We start from the raw sequence: 17403 nt of genomic DNA on the forward strand, positions 1-17403 counted from the left end.
GGTGAGAGAGGGCATCCCTGTCTTGTGCCAGTTTTCAAAGGGAATGCTTCCAGTTTTTGTCCATTCAGTATGATATTGGCTGTGGGTTTGTCATAGATAGCTCTTATTATTTTGAGATATGTCCCATCAATACCTAATTTATTGAGAGTTTTTAAGCATGAAGCATTGTCGAATTTTGTCAAAAGCCTTTTCTGCATCTATTGAGATAATCATGTTTTTTTGTCGTTGGTTCTGTTAATATGCTGGATTATGATTATTGATTTGTGTATGTTGAACCAGCCTTGCATCCCAGGGATGAAGTCCACTTGATCATGGTGGATAAACTTTTTGATGTGCTGCTGGATTTGGTTTGCCAGTATTTTATTGAGGATTTTTGCATCAATGTTCTCAAGGATATTGGTCTAAAATTCTCTTTTTTGGTTGTGTCTCTGCCCGGCTTTGGTACCAGGATGATGCTGGCCTCATACAATGCATTAGGGAGGATTCCCTCTTTTTCTATTGATTGGAATAGTTTCAGAAGGAATGGTACCAGCTCCTCCTTGTACCTCTGGTAAAATTCGGCTGTGAAACCATCTGGTCCTGGACTTTTTTTGATTGGTAAACTCTTAATTATTGTCTCTATTTCTGAGCCTGTTATTGGTCTATTCAGAGATTCAACTTCTTCCTGGTTTAGTCTTGGGAGGGTGTGTGTGTCGAGGAATTTATCCATTTCTTCTAGATTTTCTAGTTTATTTGTGTAGAGGTGTTTATAGTATTCTCTGATGGTAGTTTGTATTTCTGTGGGATCGGTGGTGATATCCCCTTTGTCATTTTTTATTGCGTCTATTTGATTCTTCTCTCTTTTCTTCTTTATTAGTCTTGCTAGCAGTCTATCAATTTTGTTGATCTTTTCAAAAAACCAGCTCCTGGATTCATTGATTTTTTTAAGGGTTTTTTGTGTCTCTATTTCCGTCAGTTCTGCTCTGACTTAGTTATGTCTTGCCTTCTGCTAGCTTTTGAATGTGTTTGCTCTTGCTTCTCTAGTTCTTTTAATTCTGTTGTTAGGGTGTCAATTTTAGATCTTTCCTCCTTTCTCTTGTGGGCACTTAGTGCTATAAAGTTCCCTCTACACACTGCTTTGAATGTGTCCCAGAGATTCTGGTATGTTGTGTCTTTGTTCTCGTTGGTTTCAAAGAACATCTTTATTTCTGCCTTCATTTCATTGTGTACCCAGTAGTTCAGGAGCAGGTTGTTCAGTTTCCATGTAGTTGAGTGGTTTTGAGTGAGTTTCTTAATCCTGAGTTCTAGTTTGACTGCACTGTGGTCTGAGAGACAGTTTGTTATAATTTTTGTTCTTTTACATTTGCTGAGGAGTGTTTTACTTCCAACTATGTGGTCAGTTTTGGAATAGGTGTGGTGTGGTGCTGAAAAGAATGTATATTCTGGTGATTTGGGGTGGAGAGTTCTGTAGATGTGTATTAGGTCCGCTTGGTGCAGAGCTGAGTTCAATTCCTGGATATCCTTGTTAACTTTCTGTCTCGTTGATCTGTCTAATGTTGACAGTGGGGTGTTAAAGTCTCCCATTATTATTGTGTGGGAGTCTAAGTCTCTTTCTAGGTCTCTAAGGACTTGCTTTATGAATCTGGGTGCTCCTGTATTGGGTGCATATATATTTAGGATAGTTAGCTCTTCTTGTTGAATTGATCCCTTTACCATTATGTAATGGCCTTCTTTGTCTCTCTTGATCTTTGTTGGTTTAAAGTCTGTTTTATCAGAGACTAGGATTGCAACCCCTGCCTTTTTTTGTTTTCCGTTTGCTTGGTAGATCTTCCTCCATCCCTTTATTTTGAGCCTATGTGTGTCTGTGCACATGAGATGGGTTTCCTGAATACAGCACACTGATGGGTCTTGACTCTTTATCCAGTTTGCCAGTGTGTGTCTTTTAATTGGAGCATTTAGCCCATTTACATTTAAGGTTAATATTGTTATGTGTGAATTTGATCCTGTCATTATGATGTTAGCTGGTTATTTTGCTCGTTAGTTGATGCAGTTTCTTCCTAGCCTTGATAGTCTTTACAAATTGGCATGTTTTTGCAGTGGCTGGCACCGGTTGTTCCTTTCCATGTTTAGTGCTTCCTTCAGGAGCTTTTGTAGGGCAGGCCTGGTGGTGACAAAATCTCTCAGCATTTGCTTGTCTATAAAGGATTTTATTTCTCCTTCACTTATGAAGCTTAGTTTGGCTGGATATTAAATTCTGGGTTGAAAATTCTTTTCTTTAAGAATGTTGAATATTGGCCCCCACTGTCTTCTGGCTTGTAGAGTTTCTGCCAAGAGATCAGCTGTTAGTTAGTCTGATGGGCTTCCCTTTTTGGGTAACCTGACCTTTCTCTCTGGCTGCCCTTAACACTTTTTCCTTCATTTCAACTTTGGTGAATCTGACAGTTATGTGTCTTGGAGTTGCTCTTCTCGAGGAGTATCTTAGTGGCGTTCTCTGTATTTCCTGAATTTGAATGTTGGCCTGCCTTGCTAGATTGGGGAAGTTCTCCTGGATAATATCCTGCAGAGTGTTTTCCAGCTTGGTTCCATTCTCCCCGTCACTTTCAGGTACACCAATTAGATGTACATTTGGTCTTTTCACATAGTCACATATTTCTTGGAGGCTTTGTTTGTTTCTTTTTATTCTTTTTTCTCTAAACTTCTCTTCACGCTTCATTTCATTCATTTCATCTTCCACCGCTGATACCCTTTCTTCCAGTTGATCGCATCAGTTACTGAGGCTTGTGCATTCATCACGTAGTTCTTTTGCCTTGGTTTTCAGCTCCATTAGTTCCTTTAAGGACTTCTCTGCATTGGTTATTCTAGTTGTCCATTCGTCTAATTTTTTTTTCAAAGTTTTTAACTTCTTTGCAATTGGTTTGAACTTCCTCCTTTAGCTCGGAGTAGTTTGATCTTCTGAAGCCTTCCTCTCTCAACTCGTCAAAGTCATGCTCCATCCAGCTTTGTTCCGTTGCTGGTGAGGAGCTGCATTCCTTTGGAGGAGGAGAGGCGCTCTGATTTTTAGAGTTTCCAGTTTTTCTGCTCTGTGTTTTCCCCATCTTTGTGGTTTTATCTACCTTGGGTCTTTGATGATGGTGGCGTCCAGATGGGTTTTTGGTGTGGATGGCCTTTCTGTTTTTTAGTTTTCCTTCTAACAGTCAGGACCCTCAGCTGCAGGTCTGTTGGAGTTTACTGGAGGTCCACTCCAGACCCGGTTTGCCTGGGTATCAGCAGGGGAGGCTGCAGAACAGTGGATATTGGTGAACCGCAAATGCTGCTGCCTGATCATTCCTCTGGAAGTTTTGTCTCAGAGGAGTACCCAGCCGTGTGAGGTGTCAGTCTGCCCCTACTGGGGGGTACCTCCTAGTTAGGCTACTCTGGGGTCAGGGACCCTCTTGAGGAGGCAGTCTGTCGGTGTTCAGATCTCCAGCTGCGTGCTGGAAGAACCACTACTCTCTTCAAAGCTGTCAGACAGGGACATTTAAGACTGCAGAGGTTATTGCTCTTTTGTTTGTCTGTGCCCTGCCCCCAGAGGTAGAGCCTACAGAGGCAGTCTGGCCTCCTTGAGCTGTGGTGGGCTCCACGCAGTTCGAGCTTCCTGGCTGCTTTGTTTACCTACTCAAGCCTGAGCAATGGCAGGTGCCCCTCCCCCAGCCTCGCTGCCGCCTTGCAGTTTGATCTCAGACTGCTGTGCTAGCAATGAGCTAGGCTCTGTGGGCGTAGGACCCTCCGAGCCTGGTGCAGGATATAATCTCCTGGTGTGCCGTTTGTTAAGCCTGTTGGAAGAGCGCAGTATTAGGGTGGGAGTGACCCAATTTTCCAGGTGCCGTCTGTCACCCCTTTCTTTGACTAGGAAAGGGAATTCCCTGACCCCTTGCGCTTCCCGGGTGAGGCGATGCCTTGCCCTGCTTCGGCTCAAGCACGGTGTACTGCACCCACTGTCCTGCACCCACTGTCCGGCACTTCCCTGTGAGATGAACCCGGTAGCTCAGTTGGAAATGCAGAAATCACCTGTCTTCTGCATTGCTCACGCTGGGAGCTGTAGACTGGAGCTGTTCCTATTCGGCCATCTTGGCTCCCCAGCTTTGAATGGTGTGTCTGGATTGTTATTTTTAATTTCATGGTTATTACAGAAAATAATTTAGTTGTGTAGAGGCACAGATATGGTAAAAAAAAAAATCTGTTCTGGCTGTCTAATATGCTATGTATGCAGCTGCCTAATAGAGTCCACTCTGGGGATGGACTTCTGTGTTGTAGGTAGCTTCTGTGTTGACCAAATTATCTTAATTTAGTCATAAAAAATTCTACATCCTATTTGGTTACATTATTTTAAGTAGGCTATAGAGCCTTAGGGAGATTTAAAAAAGATATCCACAAACTTAAGTAGTGGTCAAGATAGGTCCTATATAGAAGGTTAAAAGAAGTGCGATTATTGAAGCTAGAATCAAATGGCTATACTTTGGGAGAGCAGAGTGAACATGGGTAGCAAATCAAATTTTAGTTTATGAGGGATTTTTGAAGGGAATAATGTTTTTGGAAGGAAAATTACCAATAAGATGGCAAAATGTGGACTAGATGACCAGCCAGCGTTGGCTGATTATTCTGAAATATTTCAAGGTGAGAGAAGATGCTGATTGATTCTATGTAGGTTTGTTTTTTATTTGACCGAGAGCAAGGTGCTATTTCAGGTAATTTTTAATGCAGATTGCTGTTCCTGGATTCTGCTTGTCTCAGTGTAACTTTTTTTACTCTGCCCAGCTTCTAAATCTTAGCTTTTTGTTCTACTATTTACCTCTGTATTTCTAAATAACATCATCATACTGCAGTTCCTTGGTTTCCAATTTTATAGCTGTCTCTTGACTTCCTAGTATGAGAAATGAAGATTTAGCCATCTAAAACCTCTTCTCTACCCTTATTTCACTTGCCCTATTATCTCTTAATGCAATTATATTACGTTTTGAAAATTGAGTCATCTTCCCTATATTCATGGTGAATATGAAAATCTTATTTTCAGCTGAGCCACATATTTTAAACTTATTGTGTTTCTTAGATTTCCCATAATGATTGCCATGTTTTTGGTGTCTCTTCACATTTTTCCTTTGGCTTTAATCAGCACCTTGTTCACCTCATCAAACCCTAAAATCTACCCTATCTAGGGCTACGGAATATGAAAAGAAAATAGAATCTCACCATTTGTTGCCTCTTGCTTTGTTTCAGCCTCCTTACCCAATGTAGGTGTTACTTCCTGGTAGTTTTATTAATAGCTTAGTCTCTCCTGTCCTTGTGTTTGAAGGCATGCAGTGTAGCTGCTTTGCTAATTTGTGATGGGTTTAGCATCAGATTTTTTGGAATTGGTACTTTTAAAATGTTTTAAAAATATCCTGCCAAAGAATGGTTAGCTGTCTTTAGATTTAAGTGAAATTCAGTCAACTTTCATATCTCATGCCTTGAATTTTACCTCAAACTTAACTTAAAAAGAAAGTAAAGGAGTCAGAAGCAATAGTATTCTTACTGTCCTGTTTACTGCATTCATCGGTTCCCAGCTCTGCATACCAGAGCGGGAGAGGAGTTGCAAGACACATTTGGACAGCTCTCATCTCCCTACAACTGAGTCAACAGCAGGAGGGTATTTCTTGGAGCGCTGTGGTAACTTTTCCATGAAGCAGGTCTTCTTCCTTAGGAAGGCTTAGTTGTTGCCTTTATCCCCTCATTTGTTACAGTTAACATCTATAGCCTGATGTTGGCTCTATCACTTCCATCTGTTTTATGAGCTTGCTACTGTTGTTGCTTTGAAAGGTGGTTTTGTTTATTTGTTACAAATAATTTATCCATTATCATCTTAACCCTCAACTTTAACATTTAAAAATGACATATTGAAGAGCTGTATTATCAGTGTTTTTTAGACTGTAGGTTATATACATTTTTAAAAATAGAATAAAATAAAAAGTAAACTCACCAAGGGCATTATATAAATGTAAGCATTGGGCCAGGTGCTATGGCTCACGCCTGCAATCCCAGCACTTTGGGAGGCCAAGGCACAAGGATCGCTTGAGCCCAGGAGTTTAAGACCAGTCTGGGCAACATAACAAGATCTCGTCTTTACAAAAAATGTAAAAATTAGCCAGGGATGGTGGCATGCATCTGTGTTCCCAGCTACCCAGGAGGCTGAGGTGGGAGGATCACTTGAGCCTAGGAATTCGAGGCTGCAGTGAGCCAAGATCACACCACTGCACTCCAGCCTGGGTAACAGAGTGAGACCCTGCCTCTAAAAATTTAAAAAAGGCCAGGTGCAGTGGCTTATGCCTGTAATCCTAGCACTTTGGGAGGCGGAGGCAGGCGAACTGCCTGAACTCAGGAGTTCCAGATCAGACTGGGCAACGTGGTGAAACTGTGTCTTTACTAAAATATAAAAAAATTAGCCAGGTGCGGTTGTGCATGCCAGTAGTCCCAACTAGTCAGGAGGCTGAGGCACGAGAATTGCTTGGACCTGGGAGGCGGGGGTTGCAGTGAGCTGAAATCCTGCCACTGCATTCCAGCCTGTGTGACAGAGCAAGACTCTGTCTCCAAAAAATTTAAAAAAATTAAAAAACAAAAATAAAAACAAAAAATAACCTGTAAGCATTGGCTTTTAAAACTTTTGTAAAACCCACTTGTAGTGGGTTTTTATGTAAAGTATACTGTTAATTATGGTAAGAAAAGTTTGAGAAATGCTGCCCTAAACACATAGAAGAAGTCACCGCTCAAATTGTTTCTAAAGTTTAGGGAACATACTTTTAAGGTCTAAGGGAAATTATGTATGAGCAGAGGTTGGCGTAGCCTCAGGCAAATGGAGAGGTCCTCTAACTTCTTTCTTAGGGTAGGTACAGTATTGTAATGCTTCATGGAATTTTCAGTTTCTAACCCTCATTTTACCAGGAAAAAATAGTCATTCCTATTTATTATCTAGGTCCAATGAACCCCTTTATTAAATAATTTTACATTGTTTTTATGAATAAGCAGTGTATAAAACAATTTTATTAGAAAATTTAACAGATTTAAATATAGCGCAATCAAATTTTTATTCCATATATTCTTGGTTTAGATGGTGTCTGTACTCAAAATTGGCAGTGCCCTTCGAATGCAACTAACCACTCATCAGTGGTCACACATGAACATGGGACATATGCAACTTGTATATGTTGAATCCATATTTCAAATACATCTCTAATAGATTTGAGTTTTGTTTTTTTTTTGTTTCTTTTTTGTTTTTTTTTTTATGGAGTCTCACTTTTTTGCCCAGGCTGGAGTGGAGTGGCGTGATCTCGGCTCACTGCAACCTCCACCTCCCGGGTTCAAGTGATTCTTCTGCCTCAGCCTTCCAAGTAGCTGGGATTACAGGTGTGTGCCACCACACCCGGCTAACTTTTTGTATTTTTAATAGAGACGGACGGAGTTTCACCATGTTGGCCAGGCTGGTCTTGAACTCCTGACCTCAAGTAATCTACCCGCTTTGGCCTCCCAAAGTGCTGGGATTATAGGCGTGAGACACCGTGTCTGGCTGAGCTTGTTACTTCTTCTGGTTCCACTTGCATTTGTATCATCAAAATTCAATTTGGATTCAGGCTTTCAAATACATCAGCAGGTTTAAGCTTATCATTATCTCTTACTCTTTTTGTCTTTGCTTGATCAAAATTTAAAACCTTTGAAAACTTTGATGGCTTGTAATTTGGTTGAAAAGAGGACCACCATCTTTTTTATTCCATAATTGCAAAAGATTCTCACTTTTAGATTTGTGAACACCAGTTAGAAGGATCAATCCAATTAATTGTTCTTTTTTTTTTTTTTTTTTTTTTTTTTTTGAGATGGAGTCTCGGTCTGTCGCCCAGGCTGGAGTGCAGTGGTGCGATCTTGGCTCACTGCAAGCTCTGCCTCCCGGGTTCACGCCATTCTCCTGCCTCAGCCTCCTGAGTAGCTGGGACTACAGGCGCCCGCAACCATACCGGGCTAATTTTTTGTATTTTTAGTAGAGACGGGGTTTCACCGTTTTAGCCAGGTTGGTCTCGATCTCCTGACCTCGTGATCCACCCACCTCGGCCTCCCAAAGTGGTGGGATTAGAGGCATGAGCCACAGTGCCCGGCCAATTGTTCATTTTTACATGATTTTCTCCCTTCCAAATACCTTTATGTGGACACTTGCCAATATCATTTATACACTTAAAAAATGTATCAACTAAATTATGGTGCACAAACATCATAAAAGATGAAAGGATGTTGACACACGTACTTTTAGCAAAATGGATGGTCAAGGTTCTTGTTCCAAATTATTGTGGAATGAAATCTATCTTGTTTAATGACTATCCAGATGAGAATATATATATATATATATATATTTTTGTCCTTAAAAATACATACTTGAGTGACTGCAAATGGGCATGAGGGATCTGCTTTGAAGTGATGAAAATGTTCTGAAATTGGGTTGTGGTGATGATTGCTTAATGATGTAAATTTACTAAAAATCATTGAATTGTGCACAATATATTGGTAACTCATAGATTTTTGAGTTTGGGAAGTTTTTTGTTTTGTTGTTTAGTTACATGTTAGGTGAAACTAACCAAGTGAAGGGGCAAGAGAAGGCAGAGAGATGGTGCTATACACAGCTGATATAGGGTTGGAGGCTGAATGCTACACACCGAGAGAGACAGACACACAGACAGTCTGCTCAGCATGTCAGCCAGGCAGCATTCTGGGACTTGGACAGTTGGTTGGTGTGCCAGAGCCGGCAAGAGGTCTGGCTCAGAGCTGGAGAGGACCAGGAACCCTGGAGGCTCCCTGGTCCAACGTCCTGGTTGGCATCTGCAGCAGCACCTGGGCTCAGCTCAGATCACTCAGGGTCTTGTGGGCAAATTTGGGTGGCAGAAAGGCTGCCTCGTGCACATCTGATTTATAGTATTTCAGTTATGTATGTTCCACCAGCTTCTGTGTCAGCTGTCGCACGGACTCCCAGAACTTGGTGCTTGGGTTTTGCTGCACATCATGAAGCTAATCTGGCCACTGCGGTAGGTGGGGATGGTGCAGTAGGTGCAGCCCACCATGGGAAAGAGTGGCATGCAGAATTGCTGCGTCTTTTTGGTGAGGTCCAGGTACAGCCACTGGCAGTCACCTGGGCAGCAGAGAATGCCATGCTTCTTTAGGGCTGCCCTCCTGAGGACTGTCTTCATGAACTGGTAGTAGGATTCCTTGAAGAGGTTTTTAGCAAGGCAGTGGGGTCTGAGGAGTCATTGATAACACTGAAGGCATCCTAATTCTGTTTCATGAATTCAAACCCATCACCCATGTGTAAGTTCAGCTTTGAGCAAAAGTAGCCAACAGCTTTGCCTGGCAGGAACTTCTGAGAGACTTGGATGACATCCTTATCATTCTCACATTGGACCATAGACTTCACAGAGGGGTACTACCTCACCTTGCACAGGATGCCCTTGTTCCTGTCCTCAATAATCACCGCCATTTGTAGGTTGGGGTGGCTGCAGAGAGGCAGGTTGACTATAATCTCCTGGTAGGAGAACTTGTTCCTCTCTGTATACTGGATGATGCCATCCAACGCCATCATGTTGCCATAGGTCTTACTGCAGATGACAAAGGTATCCTAGTACTGTGAGCACTGGTCGGGGGCAGCTGCTCCACCTGCAGTGACAAGGCATGGGTGGGCCACAGACTGCATGTCTTGCAGAATCAGTCCTATAAATGGCAGTGGGGCCAGAGGCTGGGGGCGGCCATTGGGGCTGGGCTTCATGGCAGGTGATCCACAGCACTGTGGGACCAGCAGAGCCCAAGCCCACCAATAGAGTTTGGGGAGATTAAAAAAAAAACTTTGAAAAGATTAATCTAGGCTATCATTATCTGAGATTTTACTTACATGATTATTTTTATCATCACAATTAGTGTCTAGAGGGCTACTTTCTGCATCTTTACACTCTTATGATCCACCTTATATTCACCTAATAATAATGAAATGTCTTTGTCTTTTTTTTCCTTTCCATTATGGATTGAAAACAGAAAAATCTTGATTTTTTTTGGGACAGTCTCGCTCCGTCGCCCAGGCTGGAGTGCAGTGGCGCGATTTCGTCTCACTGCAACCTCTGCCTCCTGGGTGCAAGCAATTCTCCTGCCTCAGCCTCCTGAGTAGCTGGGATTACAGGTGCCCACCTGTAATCATTACAGGCCCACCACTGTGCCCAGTTAATTTTTTTGTATTTTTAGTAGAGACAGGGTTTCACCATGTTGGCCAGGTTGGTCTCGAACTCCTGACCTCAAGTGATCCACCTGCCTCAGCCTCCCAAAGTGCTGGAATTACAGGCATTGAGCCACGACGCCTCGCCTTATATTCTCTTAAGAACTACTTTCAAGTAGAGATGACTTTATTTTCATTAAGTTTGTAGAAATTGTATTTCTATTTAGAGAGACTAATTTTTGTTTTTAAAAGGAAAAACAATCAGGAGATTGAGTTGTTAGGAAATTATTAGACATGTATAGCTTGGTGACTCTTTCAACCTTTCAAATGTAAAACATGTTGGCTTTTGGGTTAAAGTACTCTGGTAATTTATCGTTATCATGTTCTATGATTGTAACCTAAGTCTCTCTTCTTCTTCTGTCTCCTTATTAACTGAGATATAATTCATGCTTTTAATTTCTCTAAGTCCTTCTACCATGAATTTTCTAGCTAAATTAAACGTAGGAAACAATACAATAAGGAAAACATAAACCTAAGAAATATTAGATGTTACATAAACTGTTGGAGATTGTCATTCACTCCTATTTTCAGAAATAGAGATTATGATAATTTAAATTTGAAGGAGAATTCATACAATATAATGTATTAAGACATGTTAGCGTTTTCTCTTGAGGTCTCTCCCAGTTATCTTGGAGTCACATGTATCTGTTAAAATAAATAAATTCATTGGGTATTCCCCATTGTAAAAGTAATATATGTTCATTATAGAAAAATTTTGAAAATATAAGCAAACAGAAGAAAAATTACCATGTTTCTACTGTTGAGTTATTGATTTTTATAATATAGAAAATCATAAGCCATAAGTGGTCTCTGTTCTTAGGAAATATAAACCCATCACCCCTATGCTTTTTTTCTTGGCACTTTATTAAATGTCACCTCTCTTCCTCCTGCTTTGGAGTGGCACTGTCTTAAGTTAGGAAGCCACTGTTACTACTCCCCAAACAGTTCAGCAGATGAAAACTAGATAGTTGGTTCTGTTGGTACAAAATAAAAATATATTTAAACTTTGTTTCTAATAATATTAAATTATTTTAACACGATCAGAATGCCCAAAGTAGTCATTATTCTGACGTGAAGGTAATGTTGCCATGGTTTTTTGTTTCTCTTTATAACTGGTTTTAAATGTAAAAACATAAATCCTAAAGAACAGGAATGGAAAATGGGGATGGTTTTCATTTGCTACAATTTCCTGTGAGACATGGCTCTAAACAAGACCCATATTTACACAACTCAATATAGTTTTACATACAGTGTTGTATTCAGCACATTTTAAAATTCTTTAATTTCACTTTTCAGTCATTGGTTTAATACTTTCATAGTAAATTTGTTTAATAACACTAGGTGAAGTTTGAAATAATTTTTGAATAATTTTACAGTAGAAACACCAGTTAAATCACCCTTTTGGTAATAAATGTCGGAAAAAAAGTAATTATTTTTGCTGCCACTGCAAAATCAATTGTGTAACTGTTCTTTTTAAACTGACTTTTACATTACTAAATTTTAAACACTCCTGTAACTTGTCAGAAGCAGGTTTTGGTTAATAGATATTTTCAGTGATGTAATGGGAACTTTTGGCAGTGAGTCAGAATATAATGGACTATGATTAATGTTTTAATAAGTAGTTTTCTATTGCTCATGATGTAAAGGAGAAATGGTTTCCTGCTTGGATGGATAGGAGAATAGCAGGTGTGCATATAGTGTTTTTAAAAAAGAATTGGGATACTTTTCTTAGAGTAACATTAACATTTTTATTCGGTTAAAATTTATTATAGAGATGCATATGTTACCACAGAAATCTGAAATTGATTTGGAACAATAAAATTAGGAGATGATTACCAATGTTGTAGTTAAATCTTTTATTTTTTGGCCTTTTGTTTTCTTTGAAGCTTTAACTTGAGGTCTCTGTAGATTGATCTTGGTTCTTACTATAAGCTGTAAGGAAATCAGGGATCTCTACAGGGTTTGATGTTTCTGAAATAAATTTCTTAAAACTTCTAGGGGAGGGAGAGGGGACAAAAAGAAAAAAAAAACTTTCAAGTTTTTCTCTTAAGGCTAGGAAATACAGATTGTTAGTCAAATGGAATAGTGATCAAGTAAGATTTCTCCATTGCCAAGGCCACAAGTTCAACGTATAAACTCAGTAGTTCAGAAATTTGGAAAGTTAAACCCAGGAGATTTTGTGTCAGTCTTGGAATCTGAGAAAGTTTATAAAGACAAACTGGAAGAAATATTAGTATACCAGACTTGAAGGTTTGATTCACAGTTTGCTTTCATTTTTTTGTGATTTAATTTTGGCAACTTATATGCAGTAAGTATCTGTTATTTTGTTGTAGGTGAAGAGTCCTAGGGCTCAGTAGATACATTCTACTTGGGAATGGTACTTTACTACCATAGATACTTTCTTTCCCATATTTGTGAATAAAATTGAGCATTTGTTCAAATGTACACTTTCCTGGAATAAAGTTTATGGTTTTTATTCCTGTCTCAAAGGGATCCTGATTCCCAATAGAGGACCTAGAGTAGTGGTCTCAAACCATATATCAGAATCACCTAGAGGGTTTTCTAAAACAAAGATTGCTGGGCCGCACCTTCAGAGTTTGTGATTCAGTAGGGCTAGAGTGAGACCCCAGAATTTCATTTCCAACAAGTTCCTAAGTAATGCTGATGCTGATGGTTAAGGACTATACTTTGAGAACCACTAGCTTAATCTTCGTTAATAGCCTTCTAGACCTTTTTTGTTATATTGCATATTTTTGTTATTATACATATTTAACAAAAATGCTTCTGTTACATTTGCTACCTGTCTTAACCTACTATATCTTATCTTTACATTTTATACTTTACATTAATACTTTAAATGATACATGTTTATCCATTGCATCATTTACAGTATTTCATAACATAATTTATTTAACCAGTCTTCAATTAGACATTTAGGTCAGTTTTCATTTGTTGTTTTTATAAATAGAATCTTGCTAAATTTTTATGTGATCTTCTAATTATTTCATTAGCAAAAAATCCCTGGATTAACGGATGGACATGGCATGGCACGGTGGCTCACGCCTGTAATCCCAGTACTTTGAGAGGCTGAGGCAGGCGGATTACTTGAGGCCAGGAGTTTGAGACCAGCTTGGGCAATATGGTGGAACCTTGTTTCCACAAAAAATAAAAAAAATTAGCCAGGTGTGGTGGTGTGCATCTGTAATCCCAGCTACTCTGCAGGCTGAGAACCCAGGACTGCACTCCAACCTGGATGACAGAGCGAGACTGTCTTAAAACAAAACAAAACAAGATAAAAACAGTAGATATATTTATAAGGCCCATTTGAGGTGTAAGTGACTTAACATCCCTGGCACTTGAACACTAATGAATATTATGACTGCCACTTTAAAGGAGGCAGAAGAAGTTTAAAAAGTAAAACAAAAAGTTTGTTTCAGAAAACAAGCATTTTACCTCTGTTTCAAATAGTCTAATTTTTTTAGTGATGAAAACTTCTGAGACCAGTAGATGTTTGTAAATAAAAAACATTTATGGCAGTCTTTGTAACTGTAATGAAACTGGTAGAGAGTAATAATAGCCTGTTTTTTGTTTGTTTGTTTGCTTTGGGGGATATTTGCAATACAGTTTATTGATATGTCACATACATGTAAAGTTTATAATTCACCCCAGAATTTATATTACTAAGTTTGTGCTAGTATTAAAGAGCTTTTCAAATTCAGTGCCTGTTTAAAAAAAAAAAAAAAAAAACTGTACTCCATGCCTTGAAAATAGCAAAACTGTGATATAGATTAAGGTGGGGAAGCATTTTTTTTTCTATTTAGAGCTATAATAAGAAAAAATAAATTGAGACAGTGGTTTTTAATTTGAAAAAGAGAAATGAAATATTTATTCATCTACTTTTAAAATGGAGAAACAATAATATGTATGTGAAATCTTTCTTCTGTACTGTAAAACTAGCTACACAAATAACATCACCCTCCCTGACTCTCAAAATAAAATACTAAACCCATACAGAGAAAACTACTCTGAAAGACAGCTCCACAGATGAGGTCACTGAAAGGTGTCCAACATTGGGGATGTTGGGTAAAGCAAGGCAGGGAATGGGTGAGTGAGGGCAAAAGCTGACAACTTGGAAACATATTAAAAGTAGGTACTAGATCAAATTCAGTCTGTCCTGTTGCATTGCCTATTTCTAGAACGCATATTTATAACATGAATTAGCTCACACATGAATGGTAAATAGTGGAATGATATCTGTATAATGTAGATTCCATATTGTAGAAGCTATTTTGTTTGCACATGATTTTTCCCAGTAAGTAAATATGTTACATTGTTAATTAATAATAGCAGCTGAACTCAGATACAGTTGGCTGTCCATTCATGGGTCCACATCCATAGATTCAACTAACGGCAAATTGAAAGTATTTGGGGAGAAAAACAATAGTTGGGCCTACATTGAATGTGTACAGACTTTTTTCTTGTCATTATTCCCTAAACAATACACGACAACACCTATTTACATAGCATTTATAATACGTTGTATTAGGTATTATAACTAACCAAGTATATGCTCCCTGGTGTCCAGGGGGGTGAAAAATAAATTAAATAAATAAAGTATATGAGAAGATATGCACAGGTTATATGGAAATACAGTGCCATTTTATATAAGGGACTTAAGCATCTGCAGATTTTGGTATCCTGGGGGTGGGGTTCTGGAAGCAATCCCCCACAGATGCTAAGGGATGACTGTATATGGAAACAAAAACACAATGGGATGCATGAAGCCACAGAGGAGTAAAGAGAGTGCTGTACAGGATGTCTAGTTATACCATGTTCTTCCTTTTGGCTTAGTTTTGCCATGCATCCTGTCTTGGAAGTGCTACTTGTGGAATTCTTCCCAAGTTTTGCTCATTTTGCTTGTTTTTATAACTTAGCAACCTTATCCCTTCCTTACACTTCCTTCCATCAGGTTACATTCACTTTTTTCTTACGTTTCTTATAAAACCTATATTTACTGTATCATCTGTTTATTTGGAACTTAACCAAGCTTTAAAAAATCAACTGTGTTAATACTTTTTGGAGGAATAATTAATGTTTTTGTTGGGTCCCTGGTTATGTTATCTTTCATGTCTGGCTTCTTTCATGTTTTTGAGATTTATATTGTAGATTTTGTGTGGACTGTCCCCGATTTCACTTCTAACTTTTAAGTTCACATTTGGCAGAATATAAGATCTTTCAAGAAAAATTATGTTATCACAGAAATGCCAGAGTAATGTTATAGAACTCTGGATCATAGAGTAGGTCAGTCAGAAGCACTTTAGCACATAGAATTGCTCAGTGTAAGAGGAGATCTTTTGATGGAAATTCAGTCATGATTGTGGACTTTCATCACAATACTGTTCATTTGGCCCTACTCTCTGGTTAGAAATCCCTAGTAGTTAAAAGGTCTTCTCCAGTTATGAGGTAAACTCATTACCTCAGAAATCACCCTTATTCTACCCACAAAGAGTTGTTGAAAGAGATATGAAAAAAACAAAATGCGCTTCCTACTCTCACACACCACAGTCAATACTTCTGACGACAGGTGTTGTGGGGTTTTCCCCCCACACACCAACCAAAGCAGTTCTCCAGTCCAGTAGACACCAACTGGGCGTCCTCTAATTCAGTTCTGTTCTGACACTGTCTATCTGAAGATAGTATCATATACCACAGGTTAAGGGCTCAGTCCCATAAGACTGCCCTCCACTTCAGATGCCAGTCACCAGTAGTAGGTTCTTACCTATACTTCCGACCAAACCAGATATAAATTGGGGGTTCCCACAGACCATTCGTCAGTTTTGATTAATTTGCTAGGGCGGCTCACAGAACTCAGGGAAACACTTTACTTATGTTTATCCAACTATTATAAGGGATATTACAGAGGATATACGTGAACAGCCAGATGGAAGAGGTGCATAGTTGGGGAGCACAGAGCTTCCATGCCCTCTGACATGCCACGCACCCGCCACGGATCTCCACAAGTTCAGCTGTGCAGAAGCTCATCCCAACTCTGTCATTTTGGATTTTTATGAAGGCTTAATTATGTAGGCTCTGTTGATTATATCATTGGCCATTGGTGATTAACTCAACCTTCAGCCTCCTCCCTTCCCTAGAGGTCAGAGGGTGAGGCTAGAAGTTCCAGCCTGCTAACTGCATGGTTGGTTCCCCTTGTGAACCAACCCCATCCTGAGGCCATTCAGGAACCCATAAGATTTGCTTCCTTCAAACAAAAGATGCTCCTATTACCCAGGAAATTCTAAGGCATTTAGGAGCTCTGTGTCAAGAAATGGAGTCAAAGACCAAATATTAGAACAAAAGATTCTCCTTGCCACCCTATCTATAAGTTTATTAGCCCTGTGCCAGGGACTGTGGGCAAAGACCAATATGTATGGTTCTTATTATTTCAAAGTTAATTTACATGTTCAAAAGGAAAACTATATCTTCTGACTTGATGTGGGCCTTCTTGAGATACATCTCCTTTATCAGAGGTCATCCTTTGGGACCTATTGCTTATTTGGCCCTGTAAAAGGCACTCAGCCTGGGATACTGTTTGAGGTTTAGACTCAAGACAAAGGGTAGACATGCAGAGTCTATGATGCTCTACCCAATTTCGTTAATTTTAGTGTGCTACTACCAAAGACTTAAAGCTACTTTTAAAAACTTTATTGAAGTAAAATTTACATACCACAAAGGTAACGCATTTTAAATATATGATTCAGTGATTTTTGGTAAATTTACCAAGTTGTACAACCATCACTACAATCAGGGCCAACTTCATGTATGTGTAACCAGTACAGTCTCACAGGGCCCCATGCCCAGAAAGGAGCCCTGAATTCACAAGGGTGCCCTGTACTTGGAGTTTAATACTCTGTGGTTGTCATCTTGAATTCTTAATAATTTTATGTTTAGATTTATCGTTTTGTAAGTAAAGTCTGATGGGACAATTGAACATGCTCTAGGGGCTTTGAACCACGTATTCTTCCCACCTTGAGACATGTTTTCGACCACCTTCTTTCTGTTTCTGCTCATTGTTGCTGCCTCTACCCACGGTGAGGCTGTGGACACAGGGAAGGTCAGGACTG

The 17403-nt window shown here is 39.4% G+C and overlaps 1 protein-coding gene and 1 pseudogene across 6 annotated transcripts in view; one reads left to right on the plus strand and one right to left on the minus strand.

The window, feature by feature from the left end:
- Window positions 1–17403, plus strand: part of MNAT1 (MNAT1 component of CDK activating kinase) — a 235205-nt gene that overhangs the window by 175613 nt on the left and 42189 nt on the right. The gene's annotated exons all lie outside the window — the stretch shown is intronic.
- SRMP2 (SRM pseudogene 2) lies at window positions 8609–9790 on the minus strand (annotated as a pseudogene).

Source organism: Homo sapiens, chromosome 14, assembly GCF_000001405.40.
Source record: "Homo sapiens chromosome 14, GRCh38.p14 Primary Assembly".
Classification (NCBI taxonomy): Eukaryota; Metazoa; Chordata; class Mammalia; order Primates; family Hominidae; genus Homo; species Homo sapiens.